Genomic DNA, 21753 nt, shown 5'->3' with positions numbered 1-21753 from the left:
TTCCCTAAAATACCCTACCCTTCCTGTCCTTCCCAGCGTTGATCTTCCTTACTTACCTGTAGACAGCCTACAAGCCAGGTACCACATCAGCTTCCCTGGGAGAATTTTCCTAGTGTTGGTTCTTTAGTTCCTCAAAATTGTCTGATCGTACCTGATTAAATGAACATCTTTCCCAAATATGACATTCCAGGCAAGGCCTTAATTACATAACCAATTTTTCCAATTATGGTCTGGTAAACAAAGAACAGTTTCTTATTGAATATTTGCTAATAAGTATATTGCCATGAAAAGTAAGAATACTTGATAATAGTTTGTGAATTCAAGCGGTAGGTGGAAAGGGTCAGTGAGAAAAATATATTATTTAAAAATATTTTATTACTGTTTACAAAAGCAAATGGATAAGGAGTTATGGGGTTACAGATAGCTTAAGAAAGAATTTCCTTATATATCCAGAAAATACAGCATTAAAACAATATCAACAATATTCCAAACACATAACTTCAATCATCCCTCTATTCATTCATTCATTCCTATGTAATTAATTCTTGTTCTGCGGTAGCTTGGGTTAGCAGTTTTATGAAGCCTTCTGCTTCTCCATTAGAGTTCTGAAAATCCTGACTCAATCCTCAGGGACAGACTAAAAGTTGCTAAGCACAGAAGCCTATATGAAAGAGTCTATTTTTAGAAGTGTCAATAGTTTAAAAGTACATGGTACAGTTCTTTTCCATCAGTTTCTGAGGTAGTCATTATTTGAAGGCAGCAACTCTGGAGGGTAGCTGATTGCCGAGTCTTCAGGAAAGCATTAGAGGAAAACACACCCCATCTGTAGATGATAAAGTCTTAAAACAACGTGGTAAGTTGATTACTGATTATTTTCAAAGTGAAAGGCCTGATGAGCGTTCATAGCAAGAATAATGCAACTGACAAGAAAGTTTGGTTATTTCTGTGGCATGCAAAATAAAAGTTTTAGACAAAATGTCTATAGGGACAACTAGCCAATTTTCAATGTCTACAAGGACTATGATTAGCCAGTTTTCCATGTCAGTATGTGTTACAATTGATTAAAAAGAATGAAAATAATTTTTACATGTAATAATCTTGAGACAAAATATACCAAGAGTATGTTAAGACTATACCAATATGAATATTTCAAGAATATCAATTAGAGATTCAGCAAGTCTAGAGTGAGTCCTAAATATCTACATTTTAGTAAAACTTCACAGCTAAGTCTAACATGCATCCCCAGTTAAAAACCACTGGCCAAGAAGCTGCTAGTTTCAAATTAAATAAGTAATTTTGTGGCCAAGTTTCATATAATAAAATGATGACTGATTACCCTATAGGGTTTTTGACTGACATCATCAGACAACTACAACTGATAAGTATAGGAAACCTCATCAGAATTATTTCATATTATTTCAGTGTTTTCCTTGAGGTTCAAATATATTAAAAATAAAGGCATCGGCAAATCTCCGGGGACTTTTCATGAAGCACAGAATTTCTAAAGTGTTACATTGGTAACATTTTACCTATGCAAATGTGCAAGATTTAACCCACCTAAAGAAAACAGCATGATCGGTTCTTGCTCTCCCCCTCCCCCTCCCCCTCTCCCTCCCCCTCCCTCCCTCCCTCTCCCTCTCCCTCTCCACGGTCTCCCTCTGATGCCCAGCGGAAGCTGGACTGTACTGCTGCCATCTCTGCTCACTGCAGCCTCCCTGCCTGATTCTCCTGCCTCAGCCTGCTGAGTGCCTCCGATTGCAGGCGCGCGCCGCCACGCCTGACTGGTTTTCGTATTTTTTTGGTGGAGACGGGGTTTCGCTGTGTTGGCCGGGCTGGTCTCCAGCTCCTAACCAAGAGTGATCTGCCAGCCTCGGCCTCCCAAGGTGCCGGGATTGCAGACGGAGTCTCGTTCACTCAGTGCTCAATGTTGCCCAGGCTGGAGTGCAGTGGCGTGATCTCGGCTCGCTACAACCTCCACCTCCCAGCCGCCTGCCTTGGCCTCCCAAAGTGCCGAGATTGCAGCCTCTGCCTGGCCGCCACCCCGTCTGGGAAGTGAGGAGCGTCTCTGCCTGGCCGCCCATCGTCTGGGATGTGAGGAGCCCCTCTGCCCGGCTGCCCAGTCTGGGAAGTGAGGAGCGCCTCTTCCCGGCCGCCATCCCGTCTAGGAAGTGAGGAGCGTCTCTGCCCGGCCGCCCATCGTCTGAGATGTGGGGAGCGCCTCTGCCCCACCACCCCGTCTGGGATGTGAGGAGCGCCTCTGCCCGGCCGCGACCCCGTCTGGGAGGTGAGGAGCGTCTGTGCCCGGCCGCCCCGTCTGAGAAGTGAGGAGCCCCTCCGCCCGGCAGCCGCCCCGTCTGAGAAGTGAGGAGCCCCTCTGCCCGGCGGCCGCCCCTTCTGGGAAGTGAGGAGCCCCTCTGCCAGGCCACCACCCCGTCTGGGAGGTGTACCCAACAGCTCATTGAGAACGGGCCATGATGACAATGGCGGTTTTGTCGAATAGAAAAGGGGGAAATGTGGGGAAAAGATAGAGAAATCAGACTGTTGCTGTGTCTGTGTAGAAAGAAGTAGACATAGGAGACTCCATTTCGTTCTATACTAAGAAAACTTCTACTGCCTTAGGATGCTGTTGATCTATGACCTTACCCCCAACCCGGTGCTCTCTGAAACACGTGCCATGTCCACTCAGGGTTAAATGGATTAAGGGCGGTGCAAGATGTGCTTTGTTAAACAGATGCTTGAAGGCAGCATGCTCGTTAAGAGTCATCACCACTCCCTAATCTCAAGTACCCAGGGACACAAACACTGCGGAAGGCCGCAGGGACCTCGGCCTAGGAAAACCAGAGACCTTTGTTCACTTGTTTATCTGCTGACCTTCCCTCCACTATTGTCCTATGACCCTGCCAAATCCCCCTCTGCGAGAAACACCCAAGAATGATCAATTAAAAAAACAAAACAAACAAACAAAAAAAAACAGCATGATCTTCTCTCTGTAGGTAATGAATGAATAATACAATTTTAAAGTTAAGAATTACTCATATTGCTTAGTAACAAAAACAAAATCCAATTTATGTTAATACATTGAAAAATAGATACAAAGTTAATATTCAACACAAAAAAAGTGAGTTCTGCGTTAGATCTCTGCAGAGCTGCCACTAGAGGGCACTATAAACAGATTACAGAATAAATCCCCTGGACCTTGTCTTTTTTGGTACAGAGCTTGACTGTTGAATCTTAAACTGTTAGTAACAGTAAGAAGGTACACATCTTTGAGACTTGGTGAATGTGTAACCTCATATCTAGTTGCCACACCAGCTCCATGGATATTATTTAGGGGATTTCTGCCAGGGATGGAGGTGCAGAAAGTCATGTTGGAGGACTCCCTCTTGTGCAACATTAAACTAGAGCCTTCACCTCAGGCTTCAATTACTTTAATAGCTTTTCAAATATTATACTACATATATAATATAGTATAATATATCTATATTTCCTTATTAAACCTTAGGCTAAGTACACAAATGTATATTATTCTCTAATTTTCTATTGCATTATATATGTATATAACATATGTATACATTATATATATATAATTATATATATTATATATTAACATTATATATATAATATATATTATATATTATATATATTGTATATTATATATATTATATATATTGTATATTATATATATTATATATATTGTATATTATATATATTATATATATTATATATTTTTATATATTATATATATTATATATATTATATATTTTTATATATTATATATATTATATGTATATTATATAATATACATATACTATATATGTATATTATACATGTATACTATGTATAATATATACATAGTATACATATACATATATTATATATAATACAATAGCAAATTAGAGAATAATATACTTATTCTCTAATTTATGTACTTACCCTAAGGTTTAATAAGGAGATATAGATATTTGCTTCAGATACAATCATGGGTTGCTTAACAACAGAAACTTATTCTGAGAAATGCATCGTTAGGTGATTTCATCATTGTGTGAACATCATAGAGTGTACTTATACAAACCAAAATAGTAGAGCCTACGACACACCTAGGCCACATGGTGTAGCCCATTGCTCCTAGGCTACAATCCTGCACAGCATGTTACTGTGCTGAATACTGTAGGCAATTTAACAGTGGTATTTGTATATGTAAATATATCTAAACATAGAAAAGGTACAGTAAAAAGACAGTACTATAATCTTATGGGACCATGTCATATGTGTAGTCCATTGGCCAAAATGTTATCATGTGGTATACGATTGTATTTTTAAGAAATAAAAGACTCTACAGATACAACAAAAGGCTTTTGAACGCTCTCTCAGTTCTATTGCTTCCCTCCCTCTCTGTTTAACAATTTCAGATTAAACCACTATTTTGAAATTGATATGTGTACTTCCCACCCTATGTTTAATATCTACACTACATAGAAGGAGGTACTGTTCATATTATGTTCTATTGTTATGTTCCAAGGGACATTGTTCTTTCCTTCCATTTGGATTGTTTTCTTGATCCTTGCTACTGATTTGGAAATTTTTTGTTTTCTTTCTACTCTTTTAGTATATATTTTTGGGCTAGTAAACATGTTACATCATTTAATGACCTCAGAGTCTTAAATATGGTCTTCCCTACTCCCATTCTTCATGTCATCTATCATTTGTTCTTTTGTTTTTTCATCATTACTCATCACCTATAAATATTTTTGCCTTATGTTTGAGTGTTGGTAGTGGGAGGAGCATCTCTCTCCATCAGCTCAATTCACTGGGTTGTTGTAATTCCACAGATAACCTTCTAATTGGTCTTCTCTCCAACCCACTGAACACCACTAATTTTTGTGAAGTATAGTTTTTTCATTATACCTCTTTACCACCTGTGAACATTATACTACTTTCTAGCTCAAGTGCTCATTTATTATGTTTGGAACCATATAATATGTCCCATCCTATCCTTTCTAACTTGTCTCACTGTTTCCAACATGAATCCCCTAGTCTAGATCATGATCCTTCCTCACTGGTCCACAATACCCTGTGTTGATTGATACACTTGTGCTTTTTATTATGCCTATAGGCAATTCTTTCTCTTCTTTTTCTCTATCCTAATCCTATATTTCTTCCTAAATCTGTTTAAGGTCCAGTTTGTGAGAGAGTCTTATCCTAGTTACTCCATATCTATTCATCTTTATCTCTTTTCTCATCTTTTAAGACTCTAAAAGTCTATAATCCAATTTTACATTGATCATATCATCTTTTTTAAACCCTATTTTTTTTAAAGGATCAGTCCCTCTTGATTAGAAAACAGAGTTGGTTGTTTATTGGTTGTTTCGTTTAACTGACAGATACAATAAGTATTTATTAATTTGAGTTCAATTTTAAAACACTTTAGCAATTAAATACAAAACATTTGTATTCTGTTTGTAGAGAGTTTACTGGGCGAGCTCTGTCAGTGATTTCCAATTAAATCAGGGCTATCTCCCTTCCTTGTTAATTTACATCACTGTTACAGTCATTCAGATATCAAGTGAGAATGTATGCACAAGTTTCTGTGCTGTGAATCATGGAGAAAGGCAGAGACACTGGTTACAAAAGCCCACCTATCCATTAAATGTCACACACAAGAGGTGGTAGAATTTGGACTCAGACTGTCTCAGTTTGAATCTCAGTTCAACCACCTCCTGGCTATATGACCTTACCAAGCTCTTATTCTCCATGCCTTAGTTTGATGTATAAATAAAGACAAATGGCCAACCTCCTGGTGCAGTGTTCACTGGGAAACACTAATGGATACAGGAAAATAAATACAGTATGCCACCCTCCCCCATCTGAGTTTTCACTTGCTATGAACAACCACAGTCCAAAAATATTACATACAATAAGATATTTTGAGACAAACAATGTTCACGTTAACTTTTATTATAGTATGTTGTTATAATTCTTCTATTTTATTATTAGTTATTGTTATTAGTCTCTGCCTAATCTATTATATAAATTAAATTTTATCATAGGTATATATATGAAAAAACATAGTATATGTAGGGTTTGGTATTATTTATGGTTTCAAGCATCCACTGGGGGTCTTGGAATGCATCCCCCTCAGATAAGGGGGCACTAGTGTAGGTGTGTGAGTCTCCAAGTAAGTCAAAGACAGCACATAGCAATCTGGTCTTCCTGGATGTCAGACTTCAGGAGAGCGGACTCCCCGCCTTGCCTTGTGTTGCTTTTAAGCTGCATGATTAGGAAAGTCCAGGCCCTTCCTTGGTGTGACCAATACCAGGATGGAATACACCAGCAACATGATGGGGTAGGAGTTTGCCTCCAGCCCTATCCTTCCAGCTCAGCACTGGCAGTTGAGGTTAGCACCAGGGAGCTGGTGTGCAAAGCAGTGGCAGGATCTACCACCTGAACTTTCATGGTTGGGGAAGCCCCAGCCCCTGCCTGGCAAGAAAAGGACTCAGGCTGTCTGGATTCTAATTTCTGTTCAACCACATACTGGCAAGACTTGTGGGCAAGCCTTGCTTTGGGCTACAAGCCAGAGTTTAAGGCAATTCATTCTGATTGGTTTCCAGGGTATCCTGGGGCAAGTTACCTCCTTTTTCTGGAAGGCCAGCCTGTAGGGGATCATGAGACCAATTAACTCCTACTTCTCACTTTCCTTATCTGTAACAGGGATAATAATACTACCTACCCCCAGGGGGTTGGTGTGAGTTTAAATGGTTTAAACATATAGTATGCATAAGAGTGGGTGGTACATGCTAAGGGCTCAATAAGCATTATGTCTTATGTGTGCATTTAATTACAACACAAGTGCCTTTGAAGAGATACTATCCTATGTGAGTTCAGAGTGAATCACTAACTGGAATTACCAGAAATATTTATCTACATCAGTCCATAGTTGGTGTCCCCTCAAATCTGCTTATGCAGAATTGCATACCTTGTTGTGAGCCTCACTGTCTGGATTCTACACTCTGCCTTTTCTATCTGTTTGTTTTGATGTCTAGAGCCTGAGGCCCATCCACATTCTCTAAACTTCACTTCTGCTGGCTTGTCTGAATGACTAAGCCTCACTGTTCCTCACAGACATCCCAGATCTCCTGGGGACCTTAGCTTCACCCAAGGCTCTGCTACTGCGACTACTCTTTGTCTTAGTGAACCCTAGAATCTTTTATTAACCCTAGACTGAACTTTACTGTGGATAAACCTCATATATATATATATATGTTTTTTGTTGTTGTTGTTTGTTTTTGTTTTGAGACAGGATCTCTCTGTGTCACCAAGGCTAGAGTGCAGTGGAGCAATCATAGGTCACTGCAGCCTCAACTTCCTAGACCTAACCAATCCTCCCACCTCTGCCTCCCAAGCAGCTGGGACTACAGGTGTATATAACCACACCTGGCTAATTTTTGTTTTTGTATTTGTATTTTGGTAGAGATAGGATTTCTCCATGTTGCCCAGGCTGGTCTTGAACTCCTAGGCTCAAGCAATCCTCCTGCCTCAGCCTTTCAAAGTGTTGGGATTATACGCATGAGCCGCCACACCCGGCTGAATCAGCCATTTAATCAAACTGTGTTTATCCTCTCTCCCTCTAAAGCCCTGCCCTTAACCTTCCCTTCTTTTATCTTTGACCCTTAAACCAGGCTCTACCACCTGATGTAACTTGTTTTTATGCTTTCTAGCCTCTCCATTTTTCACCTCTTATAGCATTCTTTTGTGAATAATAAAACCAAATCATAATATTTTATGAAACATTATAAGGTACACAGTAGTTGTTAAAGGATGAGTAAGACAGAATTCTTGCTATGTAGGAATTTACAGCTTATAGGAGACATAAAATATAACAATGCTCATAATACTCCTTTATTATCCTTTCAATATCCATGGGATCTCTAGTGATGTCTCTCCTCTTCCATTTCTGATATTAGTACAGCCAGCCTTCCATCTTCATGGGTTCCCCATTCATAAAATCAACCAGCCATGGATCAAAAGTATTTTTTGAAAAGCAAAAATAAAAATAGAATAAAATAATACAGATTTTAAAACAGTACATTGTAACAATTATTTACATAGCATTTACATTGTGTGAGGTATTAAAAGTAATCTAGAGATGATTTAAAGCATGAGAGAAGATGTGTGTAGGCTATATGTAAATACTGTGCCATTTTATGTAAGAGATTTGAGCATCCATAAATTTTGGTATCCATGTTGGGTCCTGGAACAATTCCCCAGGGATATCATGGGACAACTCTAATTTGTGTCTTCTCTTTTTTTCTTGGCCTAGAGAGTAACCAATTTTAATATTCTTTTTAAAGAACTAACTTTTGATTTTGTCTATTAATTTCCTATTTTCCATTTCACTGATTTCTGCTCTAATTCTTCATTGTCTTTTCTTCTCCTTATTTGGCATTTGGTTTGCTCTTATTTTTAAGTTTTCTAAAATAGAAGTTTAGATTATTGTAGATCTTTCTTCCTTTCTAGTTTATGTATTCAATGCTATAGATTTCCTTCCAAGTACTGTTTTTGCTGCATTATGCAAATTTTAATGAGTTGTATTATCATTTTCATTTAGTTTGAAACATTTTTTAAGTTCTCTTGAGATTTTTTTCTTATCCATATATTATTTAGAAGAGTGTTTCTTAATCTCCAAGTATTTGGGATTTTCTAGCTATCCTTCAGTTATTATTTTTTCATCAGCAGGAGCTGAGGCCTCTATCTTTCTGTTATTGATTTCTAGTTTAATTACAATGTGGTCTGAAAGCAGATGTGTGATTTCTAGTCTTTTAAACTGTTAAGGTGCATTTTATGGCCTAGAATGTGGTGTATTATGGTGAATGTTCCATGTGAGCTTGAGAAGAATGTGTAAGGTGAAACAGTCTACCGATATCAATCATATCTAGTTGATTGGTACTGCTACTGAGTTCAGCTATGTCCTCACTGATTTCCTGCCTGCTGGATCTGTCCATTTCTTATTAAGGTGTGTTGGATTCTCCAGCTATGATACTGGATTTATCTATTTCTCCTTGCACTTTTATCTGTTTCTGCCTCACTCATTTTAGTGCTCTGTTGTTAGCCACACACACGCTAAGAATAATTAAGTCTTCTTGCACTGTTTACACCTTTATCATTAGTTAATCCCCCTCTTTAAACCTGATAATTTTTCTTGTGGTGAAAAAATATAACAATATAAATTTCTTTATAATAGAAGTGTGTAGGGGGCAGCCAAGAAGTATAATTCCCACTGAAAAAGGGATGCATGGGTAAGAACTTATTTTTTATCGTTTATCATGTGCCAGGTACTGGGTCTAAGAAACGGGGGCAGGGATTGTTTCTTTAGGCATGACACGATTGGAGGCTGGATGCATGAAGTTGGTAGCAATAAATAAGAAAAAAGCTTGTGTCTATATGTGCTTTGTATATCTAGTCTATCTACCTACTTATCTATCTGTCTCTCTTGCTGAATCAGTTCAGAATGAATGAGGCATTATGACATTTTATTCCTTAATAGTTCAATGTACATCTAAAAAAAAAACAAAAAAACTGAGCATTCTCTGATCTCACAAGACAATTACATCTAACAATCAACAGTAATTCTCTAATCTACTCTGTACTTGTCGTGCTTTATTCTCCCTTTGCCTTCTACCTCCAGATGCATTCTCCACTTTTTTCTGTTTTGCTCTCAGCTCCAAAAGGCTTATTTCTACAGACTGCCATGGGTGGCCAGGACTCCAACTGGGGTCAGCCAACTGGAGGCACCTACAAGGCATCAGAGGCCAATGGTGAGCCCTGGCAAGAGATCAGAGGGTGGGAGAGTGGCTGGGATACTCTCTCTGCTCCTCCCTGCTGAGTTCCTTGTCCGGTACTGGCTGCATCTGCCACTGTATCCCTTGTGAAGCTGTACTCTGTTCAGCAGCTCCAGCTGTGACTAGACACTCATAACTGCCCCCATGCCTGCTCCTTTGGGTCTAACAGCAGTTGGTGACAGCTTCCCTGCTGCGCCCTGGGTGCCTCAGCACCCCCTATTGATTCCATTAGCTCTGCCTACATCCCTCAATAGTCCCTTCTTTAACTGATTCATGATTAAGTTCTTTTGAGTTTGCCATCGGTTTCCTGCGAGGACCCTGCCTGATATTTGAATATTCCATATTCAAAATTCACCATTAACCCAAAGTGTTTTTAAAGCTTTTTTAAAAACCAAAATCCACTCAAGAATCCCATGTTGAATTGGTTTTGCCTGTTTAGTCCCTTAACCTAGCTCCTCTTCCTTTTTTCCTTGTCATTAACTTTTTTTTTTGAGACCAGAACAGCTGTCTTATTCTGTCCCATATTCTGAATGTGTTCAAGTGTACCTTAATTTGTTCTTCTCTGCTTTGAATTTCCTTTAACTTGAATCTAATCCAGCCTTTAGATTCCATTTCCATCTTAAACATTATCTCTTAAATATTATTGACAGGTGCTGTCATATAATTTATAAAGCATTACCTCAGAAGTCACACAGCATCATTAATAGTGGGACAATCAGATAGTAAGTTACCTAGTGATAATAGCCATATTTCTCCATGGTAAAGGGTACTTTTTCCTCCGTTTGCTATAAACAAGTAATAGCAAATTACTTGTTATTTTAAGGGTGATACTTTGGTGCTTTTTGAATATCTGGTTCTCTGTTGACTGTTCAACTAACAGTTTTAGCATTCATTATTGATCCTTGTTTGGATTGATTATTTCATAATGTCTTGCAAAAATATTTTCTATTTCCATCATTATTTCTACATTTATTATCTAGCATTCTTTTGTATACAAAAGCTTTAGTTTAATAACGGGAGCTATTTATTTTTCCTGACTACAGGTGTTACGTAAAAGCAGAATAATCCCTAATTTGGCCCCCTTTAATTCCTTACTCTGAAATTAGATAATCAATGTAATGCCATTACTAATATAAACTGTCTATATTGGGTTTCATTAATGAGCTCTCATAATTCTGTGCAATTAAGCTTGGTTATCAGGGAAATTGAATTCTATATCTTCTCAAACACAATAAATTCAGCTTTGTCTGCATCTTCTTACCTTTTATTATTGCTGCAGAGATGTCTGCACCAGCCCTGGTCATCCATACATTACTAGCACTAATAGATACAGACCTCTGGTACTGTGGTAGCACAAACCCGATGAACAAAACCCACCATCAATAGCTGGTATTTACACCACAATTAGATTGCGCATCTCGTAAGAGCGCTCAGAAGGCATTCAAAAGGGCTATCATCTCTTTCCTGTGTAAGCTATTAGTCTCACAAATTTTTGATCAGGAGACCCTCAAAGCTTAGCTGTACTGTTACATTGCTTTCTCATGCTGAAATAAGCCATTTTGCTTCCCTAAGTGCTTCTGTCTGAAAAAAATAATGGATTTTTTAAAGCTAAGTGAGACTTCTGGGTTCTGTTGGATTTTCATGAGTGATCATGTAGGGGCTGGCCATTTGTTATCCTCAAGTGCACTTTTGGCTGTCTCCTTCACTCCCTATATGCAGTCACAGGTATCTGCTACATGTAGTAACAGACTTTCGCCAAGCTCTCTTTCAAATACTCAGTGCTAGTCAGAGTTCCCAGCCTCATCTGTATGGCTCTGGACTTTTCTCTGCAGCTGCCACCTCTTAGTAGCTGTTCCTCAATTGCAAACACCACAGCAGAGGGGAGAGAATCAGACAGAAAGAAAAGGCTCACATAGCCATTCACCAATTAACAAAGTCTTTCTCCAATAAAACTAACAATAATTAGCCGAAATCCCTAACATCCCAGTCATCATCACAAATAAATCTCTTTACTCATTGAGACAACGTAGAGTGAGCCATACATGCCAAAAACATCTAGGCTAAAGGATGTACAAAACAAAGTTGTGATAAGGTCTGTCTGGCCATTGGCTTATTTGCTCCCAGATCCATTCATTGTCTTTCCCCTGTCTGTTCCATGTTACAGGGGCTATCCTCTGCAAACTACAATTCTCAGTTTATTAATTTTCTATTACTATATAACAAATTACTGCAAACTTTGCAGCTAAAAATAACTCCCATTTACTATCTCATAGGTCTATACTTCAGAAATCTGGGTTAATTTGGCTGGTTCTCTGTTTAGAAAGCCCAAGTCAAGGTGTGAGCTGGACTCTTATTTTGAGACTCTGGGGAAGAATCCACTTTCTAGTTCATTCTGGTTGTTGGCAGAATGTCGTTCCTTACAGCTATAGGACTCAGGTTGCTTTTCCTTGCTGGCTGTCGGCAGGAGACCAGGCCTCTCTCCGTCATTGACTGGGAGAGGTGGAATGGGTTTAGAGGAGGGGCAGGGTGGGTTGAGGAGTGGACCGTGATGAAACTCATTGCTGGGGGCTGTTAGATAATACTCCTCCTCTCAGCTGAGCAATAAGTCCTTTCTGAGGAGTATCTAAGCCGGGGGTTGGTAACTGTATATAGCCTGCTGCCTATTTTGGTATAGCTCCCCAACCTAAAAGTAGATTTTTACATCTTTAATGGTGACATTTTATATTTATTTTTTATTTATTTTTTGAGATACAGTCTTACTTTGTTGTCCAGGCTGGAATACAAGAGCATGATCATGGCTCACTGCAGCCTTAACCTCCTGGGCTGAAGTGACCCTCCTGCCTCAGCCTCCTGAGTAGCTGGTACTATAGGTGCAAGCTACCATTTTTTTTTTTTAAGAGTGAGAGAGATGGTGTTTCACTGTGTTGCTCAGGCTAGACTCAAACTCCTGAGCTCAAGAAATCCTCCTGCCTCAGCCTCCCAAAATGCTGGGATTATAGGCGTGAGCTACTGTACTCTTAGCACTTACATAATATCTTGATTTTGCTGCTTAGCTCTCACAGGTTGAAATATTTACTATCTGGCCCTTTACAGAGAATAATTCATGGGCTCCTGAATTTTATGCTGGGCATCTTTGTGTCTGTTCAACCCTGGCAGGTCAGAATAGAGGGCATGGTGAGGGGGACCCTGATACTGTAATTGAGGAAGGGAGAAAATGGGAGACATATCGAGTAGAAAAAAACCCAAAACCCAGAAACTTGATAGCAGGGCATGCATAAAAAAGTGAGACTGTCATTTAAAACTTCCTGGAATGGAGTATAATTTTTTAGGTCTTTGCTAATTTGTTGTAATAAAAATATTCTTGTTTTAATTTGCATATCATTTGTCTACTAATAAAGTTGGAATTGGATCTCTTTTCATGTGTTAATTTAAAGAATTGCAAATGACAGCCACAAATAAAATGAACAGATTTCTGAACCAAGGATAGAAACAAAATAGTTAATATCCATATACCTAAAATAATCTACAAAATGGAAAACATTAAGGTTCCTACCAAAAAATGAACAAATGTTTATGCTTTTAAATTTGTTAATACTTGAAAACAGAAACAAATTTTGAAGCATAGCTTCTGAGTCCAAAACCTTGTAGTTGAGCATTTTGAAATATCTAGGGTAGTTCCCTAGTACTTCTACCCGTTCACTTCTCTACTCATTTGGCTAAACTAAATAGTTTTATTTCTAAAGAATATTTATGTTATCAAAGAAGCAGAAAAAAATTTTTCCTAAGGAAAAATGGAGTCAAGAATACCAAGTTTTATATTTGCAATAATGATATTTTCTCTCAAAGAATTTGCAGGAAAAACATTTATAACTATTAGTGCACAGCTAGAAAATTGAAATGGCACCAAGAAAAACCTACGTGATTGCAATCAGCTCTTGTTCAAGAGTAAAATCCCCTTTAGTGCCTGAATTGTGATTTTTAAATATCATTCTCCACTAAAAGAAATTCCTTTTGAGAAATAGTTGATTTTAGGTCCACATCAGGACATTTACAAAATGAGTAAGACATAATTTTCTGCCAGAAAGCAGGGAAATAATCAAACTTTAAAGAGGTCATGTCAAAAGTACACAGGACCTAAACTGAAAAGGCTTCTGCTGGCAAAGTTGTGACAATTCAAGCCAAAAGGAACAATATCACTGCTTGAAACATAAATATATAAACATTCAGTAGTTCACAACAATACTCAGGGATCAACGCATTGGTCACCATCTGAGTTGGCTAGGGCACCAACTCTACTCTCAATTTTTTTTGTGTTTGTTTTGAGATGAAGTCTCCCTCTGTTGCACAGGTTAGCGTGCAGTAGTGTGATCTCAGCTCACTGCAACCTCTGCCTCCTGGGTTCAAGCGATTCTCCTGCCTCAGCCTCCTGAGTAGCTGGGATTACAGGTGCACGCCACCACACCCAGCTAATTTTGTGTTTTTAGTAGAGATGGGGTTTCACCATGTTGGCCAGGCTGGTCTCAAACTCCTGACCTCAAGTGATCCACCTGCCTTGGCCTCCCAAAGTGCTGGGATTACAGGTGGGAGCCACTGTTCCTGGCCTACTCTCAAAATTAATAAAAGAAAAGAATCAAGATTTTACCTTTCCGGCATAAGCTGCGTTTCCATTTATCCAAAGACTTGAGGTCATGTGCTTCACAGAATTCCAGCTAACAAATGCAGAAGAAATGATAGGCTTAGAAAATCACTATCTTTCAATTTTAGTGAGATACTATGGATCTAGGATAATCAATGGTTGATAAATATTGTAAAGGAGGGATCCAGCTGCCACTTCCTAATACACTGATCAATTTTAGCATCACTCAAATTAGATAGGCCTTGACATTGTATTTCAAGATACAATGCCATAGGAACTATAAAGCTCCACTTACAAAGTATTCATACCAAATTGAACATGTTTCGAGATCTAACAATAAGTTTATAGGAAATATGAGGAATAAAGGAACTACTTTTTAAAACCATCATGAGAAAGCAATCAGCCAAATTCAAATATGGAATACTCTGTGGTATGAAGAATGGACTTCTCCAACAAATCAACTGTATTAAAAAACAGCAGAAGGGTATAGAATAAAATACATAGCAGATATAATAATCAAATGTAATATTTAGGCCATATTTGGATCCTAATTTGAACAAACCAGCTGTAAAAAGCATTTGAGACTATCACAAAATCTTTTTTTTTTTTTTTGAGATGGAGTCTCGCTCTGTTGCCCAGACTGGAGTGCAGTGGCGCTATCTCTGCTCCCTGCAAGCTCTGCCCCCCGGGTTCATGCCATTCTCTTGCCTCAGCCTCCCAAGTAGCTGGGACTACAGGCGGCCACCACCACACCCGGCTAATTTTTTTGTATTTTTAGTAGAGACGGGGTTTCACAGTGTTTGCCAGGATGGTCTCGATCTCCTGACCTCGTGATCCGCCCACCTCAGCCTCCCAAAGTGCTGGGATTAGAGGCGTGAGCCACCACGCCCGGCCTGACTATCACAAAATCTTAACATAGTCTCGGTATTACATGAAATGAAAAAAACCACTGTACATTTTGTTGAGTAGCATCATGCCATGGTGGTTGCGTGGGGAGAAAAAATAGTCTATCAGTTATCAACGCTCCAGCCTGTCTAAACTTCCCTCAAGGCCAATGAGGACTCTTTAGAACACAAAAGAAATCACATGGGCTCTGAAACAGTCTGGTTCTATCTGAAGCAGCATTTCTTTCCTTTCATGCAACAGTATCTCATAAGTGACAGGTAAACTGGGTACTGAAGATCATGATGCAGAAGTTGTGGTGGTGAATATGCGATTTTTGCCAACCCATCATTTGAGGTGATCAGGGTAAATTTTTTTACTGGGAGGAAGAAAATCTAAGAAATATATGAGTACGTTAGGGAAAAACCTGTATATTCCATACAGTGAAGACCTTCAATGAGGTAGTGATTCTTGAAGCCATTAAACCAGCCACTAAGTTTTCTATTATATTAAACTATCTGGTGAAGCTGTGAGTGCAGTTGAAGATGCTTTGAAGAGACATCCCTCTGTATTGAAACCCTAGATCAGAATTCTAATGTCGATGCCTATGTTCTCTATTGGCAGTGAATGCCCCAAGGACCTACAAGAAGCCTGAGCCCCAGGATATAAGGCTGCAAAGGGCTGTCTGTGATGCTAAAGGCAAATGTTTACAGAGATTCAGCCATGCTAGTATTTCTATTTGTATTACACTCTCAGGTTTTTTACTTCCTAATTCTAACACCAACCCCATTTTTCTCATAAGCCCTATTATTTTAAGTATACTATATTGCTAACTGAAGAGTGTTTTTTTTTTTTTTTAGGAATGCATATGATGTCTTAGCAAAGATAACTGTGTACCAAAGTTAAAATTTTGGCCACTTATTGGAAGCCTAACATTGAACAAACCACTAATCTTCTCTGGACTGTCTAACTAGCTTTCTAAAATTTGACAAATGGGAATATCACCTCTCTTAAAGGATTGCTAAGGTTGTACACATAAAGCACCTAATATGTCATCTAGCACATGGGAGGACTGAATAAATAGTAGTCATTATTATCCGAGGATAAGTGTTGGTCCTCGACCTGCTGCTGCTGAACTAGGGAGCTCAACAGCAACCAAGCTGAGCAGTCTGCAGATATTTTGACATGAACACTCAGTGATTTGTCCTACGCTCTCTTCACCTCCTCTTCCAGACCACAGAAACACAGAAACACAACTAGTCTTTCATTGTTCCCTCCTCTGGTCTGCAGGTTAAACCCCAAATGGAGCCACCCCTGAAACCTCAGCCTGGTTGTTACACACAAACTGAGCCAAGCTCAGAAAACTCTAAGTTCCTGCTTCGTGCAGTGTTAATGCAGGTTAACACACAGTATGTTGAGAAGCAGTCCTGGCAGCCCCCCAGCGGCTTTTCCAGATATCCCATTGCTGGTTTGATAAACCAGGTCCTAGCATATCTCCTCAGAGGAACTCCTACTTAGGAGTCCTGTGATCAGGGCCTCAGGGTCAGTCCCATCACCCCAGTGCCCTCCTCAGTGCTTCTGGCTGCAGAAGCTTGGTCAAAGGGAACCCCAGAGGGAATCCTACCCATAGCAGACACCTCTGCTAGTGAAAAGAGATACAAAAGGAACCTGGTGAGAAACTCCTAGAGCCCTTTAGTTCCTCTCCAATATAGCTGCCCATATACATTTAATCAGACATGAGGAGAGTTTAAAAACACAGCACTGAAAGGAAAGTGGAGCCTTGGATCTAGCTCTCCTCATGGGAGCTCTCCTGAGGCTCAAGGCAAAAGGCTGGGACCCACGGCCTGGGGCTTCCCTGGTGAGGCTCCTCAGATTCCTACCCTGTCTTTCCTCCCTGGTTGCCTGGGAACTGACCAGCTTGCTTATGGCCACTTTCCTTTCCACTCAGCCTCTTCTGACAAAGGGCACCCCCTAGACTGCATCCAGCACCAGATCCCAAGGAGATTCCTTTACGGCATCATGGCGTGATTCAGAAAAGGGAAACGGAGAAACAGAGAAGTAGGTGAAGAAAGTAGGAAAAAGAAAATAAGGGGAAGAATGAGGCTAAAGTCAAAAGAAAGGCCAAGAACTTATTCATGGCTGGGGTGTCACATGTGGTCATCACCATCATATATTTCCTGATTTAAAAATTATCTAAAAGGGCTGGGCACGGTGGCTCACCCCTGTAATCCCAGCACTTTGGGAGGCCAAGGCGGGCAGATCACCTGAGTTCCAGAGTTCAAAACCAGCCTGGCCAACATGGTGAAAACCCGTCTCTACTAAAAATACAAAAATTAGGCAGGTGTGGTGGCACATGCCTGTAATTCCAGCTACTTGGGAGGCTGAGGCAGGAGAATTGCTTGAACCCGGGAGGCAGAGGTTGCAGTGAGCCAAGATCGCACCATTGCACTCCAGCCTGGGCAACAAGAGTGAAACTCCATCTCAAAAACAAAAAAAAAAAGAAAAAAAAATTATCTAAACGTACTTAGGAAAGAATTGAAGGATTATATCCTGAAAAGATTCACTGTTTTGTTGTGGAAATTTGGCCTTTAAGGGCTTTTGTTTCCTGTGAAAATGCATGAGCTATAAGAGTAGAAAGTTTACAGACCAAGTAAGAGATCTTCAGAGTTATTTAGGTTTTAATAAGCTTGCCTCATTCCATATATATTTTTCCAAGGGCAGTCAATCATCTAGACACGTAATGTTAATAAATGAAGTGACATTTGTATTGTCTATGTAGAAGTGACTGTTGCTTACACAAAGCTTTCTTCCAAAGAGTGTAACATTCCCATGGAACGCCCTAACAGGCAGACAGATCTTTTAATTGTTCTCAGAAAGTGCTTCCAGACTTGTAACCTCAGAGAGTGTCTTGCTTACAAGTAGTCTGAGAACAAGTTCTTACATGTTCTAGAAAGGAAGGCCCTGAAAACATAGAAGCAGCCTGTTTTCAAAAAAGGGGAAGAAAAACAGATGTCCGGTTGATTGGACAAATTAGTCCTAGGTAGAAAAAAGAATGTGAAATGCACAATAATTTGAGGGGTGAAAGGCAGTTGTCAGATGGAGAAGGTAATAATGAATGATAATTACTGTGTATTTACTTTCTGGAAGGAGAATGTAGGAAATGTTAGAGCTCAATCACTTAAAAATTCATTGGTTTTTCACCACTATTCTTGACAAAATAAAACGTCAAAATTCACACAACAGCATAGAAAAATAGATGAAACATAGGCAGATAGAAGTTGTGAGTGCCTCGTTCTATCTTGAATGTCTAGAGGCATCTGGATGTTTTAAAGATACCTTTACAAAAAAGTAAACCTTAAAAGAACTACCTAGGCTCTTTTTTCATAACAAAATAAAGGGGATTGCGTAAAAGATTATTGCTTAGAGATCTGGAAGAATTCCAAGAACATTCATATTCCTAAAATAAAAGCCAGCCCAATTTAAAAGTTTTATGAAAAGCTTAACTGGGGTTGTTTCTAAATTAAATCCAAGAACACTCTCAAGTTGATTTTGTCTATTTAGAATTGCCTAAAATAAAGGAAAAGTGTGAAAAACATATATTAGGAAAACTGCCAGACTTAAGTTTTCGCTTCTATCAAAAGGATTATACTGAAGGAAAGAGTCTTTGCTTCTTTATGCATGAAGAATATGTTCTGAAAATAAAGATATCGGCTATCCAAGCAAGCTTTAAAATTGCTCTTTTGTGAGATCCCATGGTATGTGGTGTAAGTACAAATACATTAGAGGTGTGTATTAATTATTGATGGCTGCCTAAAAATTTACCCCCAAATTTAAGAGCTTAAAACAACGTTTATTACCTCACACTGTTTCTAGGGTCAGGGTCAGGGTCAGGAATCCAGGAGTGGCTTAGTTGGGTGGTTCTGCCTCCCGAGATTATCATCAAGCTGTCACCTAGGGCTGAAGTCTTCTGAGGCTTGACTGGGGCTGGAGAATCTCCTCCCAAGCTTATTCACGTGATTGACAACAGGTCTCAGGTCCTCATTACCTGAGATTCTCATTGCATGGTGGTTGGCTTCCCTTTGAGTGAGTGATGAGAGATGGTAGCCACAATGTCTTTTATAACCTAATCTCAGAAGTGACATATCATTACTTCTGCCATATTCTGTCACACAGATAAATTCTGGTACAATGTGGGAGGGGAATTATACAAGGGTATGAATACCAGGAGGAGACAATCTTGAGGGCTGGCTACCATAGTCTGCCTTCTAGGCTCCAGTGAATCAAGTCCCTCCAACATGCAAAACACGTCCACTCCATCTCAACATTTCTAAAATTCTTGTCTCATTACAGCATCAACTCAAAGTCTAGAGTCTTGTCATTTAAATCAGGACCAGGTACACAAGAGGTTCCTTAGGTATAATTTCTTAACTCTAGCTCCTTGGGTATAATTCCTCTCAATCTGAAACTAACACGCACACACATAGACACACACACACACACACACACACCCCAAACACACAATGGTGGAACAGGAATAAACACTATATGCATTAATATTCAAAAAGGAAAGGTACTGGACACACTACTATGTCCCCATAGCAGCTCTGAAATCCAGCCAGGCAAATGTTGGAATCGCCTTAGGATTTAGTCCTATTTCTACGCATGAGTTATTCTCTGAGGCTTTTAGCTTCCCCTTCAGAGTCATCCTTTTTTAAAAAGAGACAGAGTCTTGCTATGTTGCCCAGGCTGATTCAAACTCCTGGGCTCAAGTGGTCTTCCCACCTTGTCCTCCCAAAGTGCTGGGGTTACAGGAGTGAGTCACCATGCTTAGCTATTCTTTCTTTTTCATGAAAGTTAGTACATGTATGCAGCTGAAATTTTTTCTTAACCTGCAGTGAAACAGGGGCAAAGTGAGTACCAAGGCCTTTTTTCATTTCATACTGTCTCTATCCCTTTGAGTTCTAGTTGGCAATGTTTCTACTAATATAATTCTTTTAAAAAATTTGTGAATCACCTATGAATTTTTGGGGGTCCATTCCATTAGACAAAAGTCACGCCCAAAAATCTTTTTGAGATAATCCCTTTCCCACCTTGTGATTCTGCTGAAAAACTATGCTCTTAAGCTTCTCAGGAGCCCTGTTTTTGAAAGAATCTGTGAGTCACAGCCTTAAAAACTTTAGAGGGCCTTTGTGTGACCAAACTGGTACTCTGAGGCACCACTTTTGATCTTTCTGAGGTCATAACAAAGGATTTATAGTCACATCTCAGCTTCATCTTTGGATTATGTTTTCATGATGGTGCCCAGGATTTGACCTCTGTCCTTCAGCCATTTCTTAATTTAGCATTTTTCACCATCTGTAAAAGCTGAGAATCTTTATGTCTTTATGAATAGCAAATTAGATCACCCAGTTTACCAGGTACATTCCCACCACCCACATTATTGCAGACAACAATATTGCTAAGATTTATGCCACTCCATAGTAAGGATTCCCTGTTCTGTTTTCAACAAGATTTTTCTCACTTTCTTTTAAACCTCCACCAGCAGCCTGGTCAAAGTCCAAAGTTTTTCTAATGTTTTGTTCAAGGCTCCTGAGACTTTCACTGCTATGCTTCTTAAATTCTTTCCAGCTACCTCCACTGTCTAGTTTCCTAGCTGTGCCTACATTTTAGGTATTTATTATGGTAGCACCTTACTTCCAGGTATTAAAAAATATATTAGAATAACAAATTATCCCAAAACTTGGCAGCTTAAAAAAACAAACTTTTTTTTCATCTCGTACAGTTTTTGAGGACCAGGAACCCAGGAACAGTTTAGCTGAGTTGTTCAAGCTGAGAGTCTCTCATGAGTTTGCTGTCAAGCTGTCAGCCAGGGCTGCAGTCTTCTAAAGGCTTGACTGGAGCTGCAGGTTTCACTTCCAGTGTCACTCGCATGGCTACTGTCACATGGGCCTCTCCATAGGACTGCTCATTACATGCCAGAGGGCTGCCCCCAGAATGAGTGATCTATAAGAGACAGAGAGACCTAATGTCTAATGACATATTGCACTGGTCACACAAACTAACTCTGGAACCACAAGGGAGGGTGGGAATACCTGAATTGGGATTATTAGGGGGTAATTTTGGAGGCTATCACAGATATAATTGCTTTTTTTTCTTTTTTTTTTTTTGAGATGGAGTCTCGCTCTGTCCCCCAGGCTGGAGTGCAGTGGCACGATCTCGGTTCACTGCAAGCTCTGCCTCCCGGGTTCATGCCATTCTCCTGCCTCAGCCTCCCGAATAGCTGGGACTACAGGTGCCCACCACCACACTTGGTTAATTTTTTTGTATTTTTAGTGGAGACGGGGTTTCACCGTGTTAGCCAGGATGGTCTTGATCTCCTGACCCCATGATCCGCCCACC

At 39.6% G+C, this 21753-nt stretch overlaps 1 long non-coding RNA gene across 1 annotated transcript in view; it reads right to left on the bottom strand.

Moving 5' to 3' along the window:
* Positions 1-7874: 7874 nt before the first annotated feature.
* Positions 7875-21753, bottom strand: part of LINC01033 (long intergenic non-protein coding RNA 1033) — a 94182-nt gene continuing 80303 nt past the window's right edge. The window contains exons 2-5 of the long non-coding RNA NR_126379.1: positions 21135-21357; positions 19212-19477; positions 14479-14545; positions 7875-7978 (exon numbers count right to left, since the gene is read on the bottom strand). This is a non-coding gene — a long non-coding RNA (long intergenic non-protein coding RNA 1033). The remainder of the gene's footprint in view (positions 7979-14478; positions 14546-19211; positions 19478-21134; positions 21358-21753) is intronic.

The sequence above is a fragment of the Homo sapiens genome, chromosome 5, assembly GCF_000001405.40.
Source record: "Homo sapiens chromosome 5, GRCh38.p14 Primary Assembly".
Taxonomy (NCBI): Eukaryota; Metazoa; Chordata; class Mammalia; order Primates; family Hominidae; genus Homo; species Homo sapiens.
Note: the sequence above shows the minus strand (reverse complement) of the source record. Positions and strands in the feature narration are given on the sequence as shown.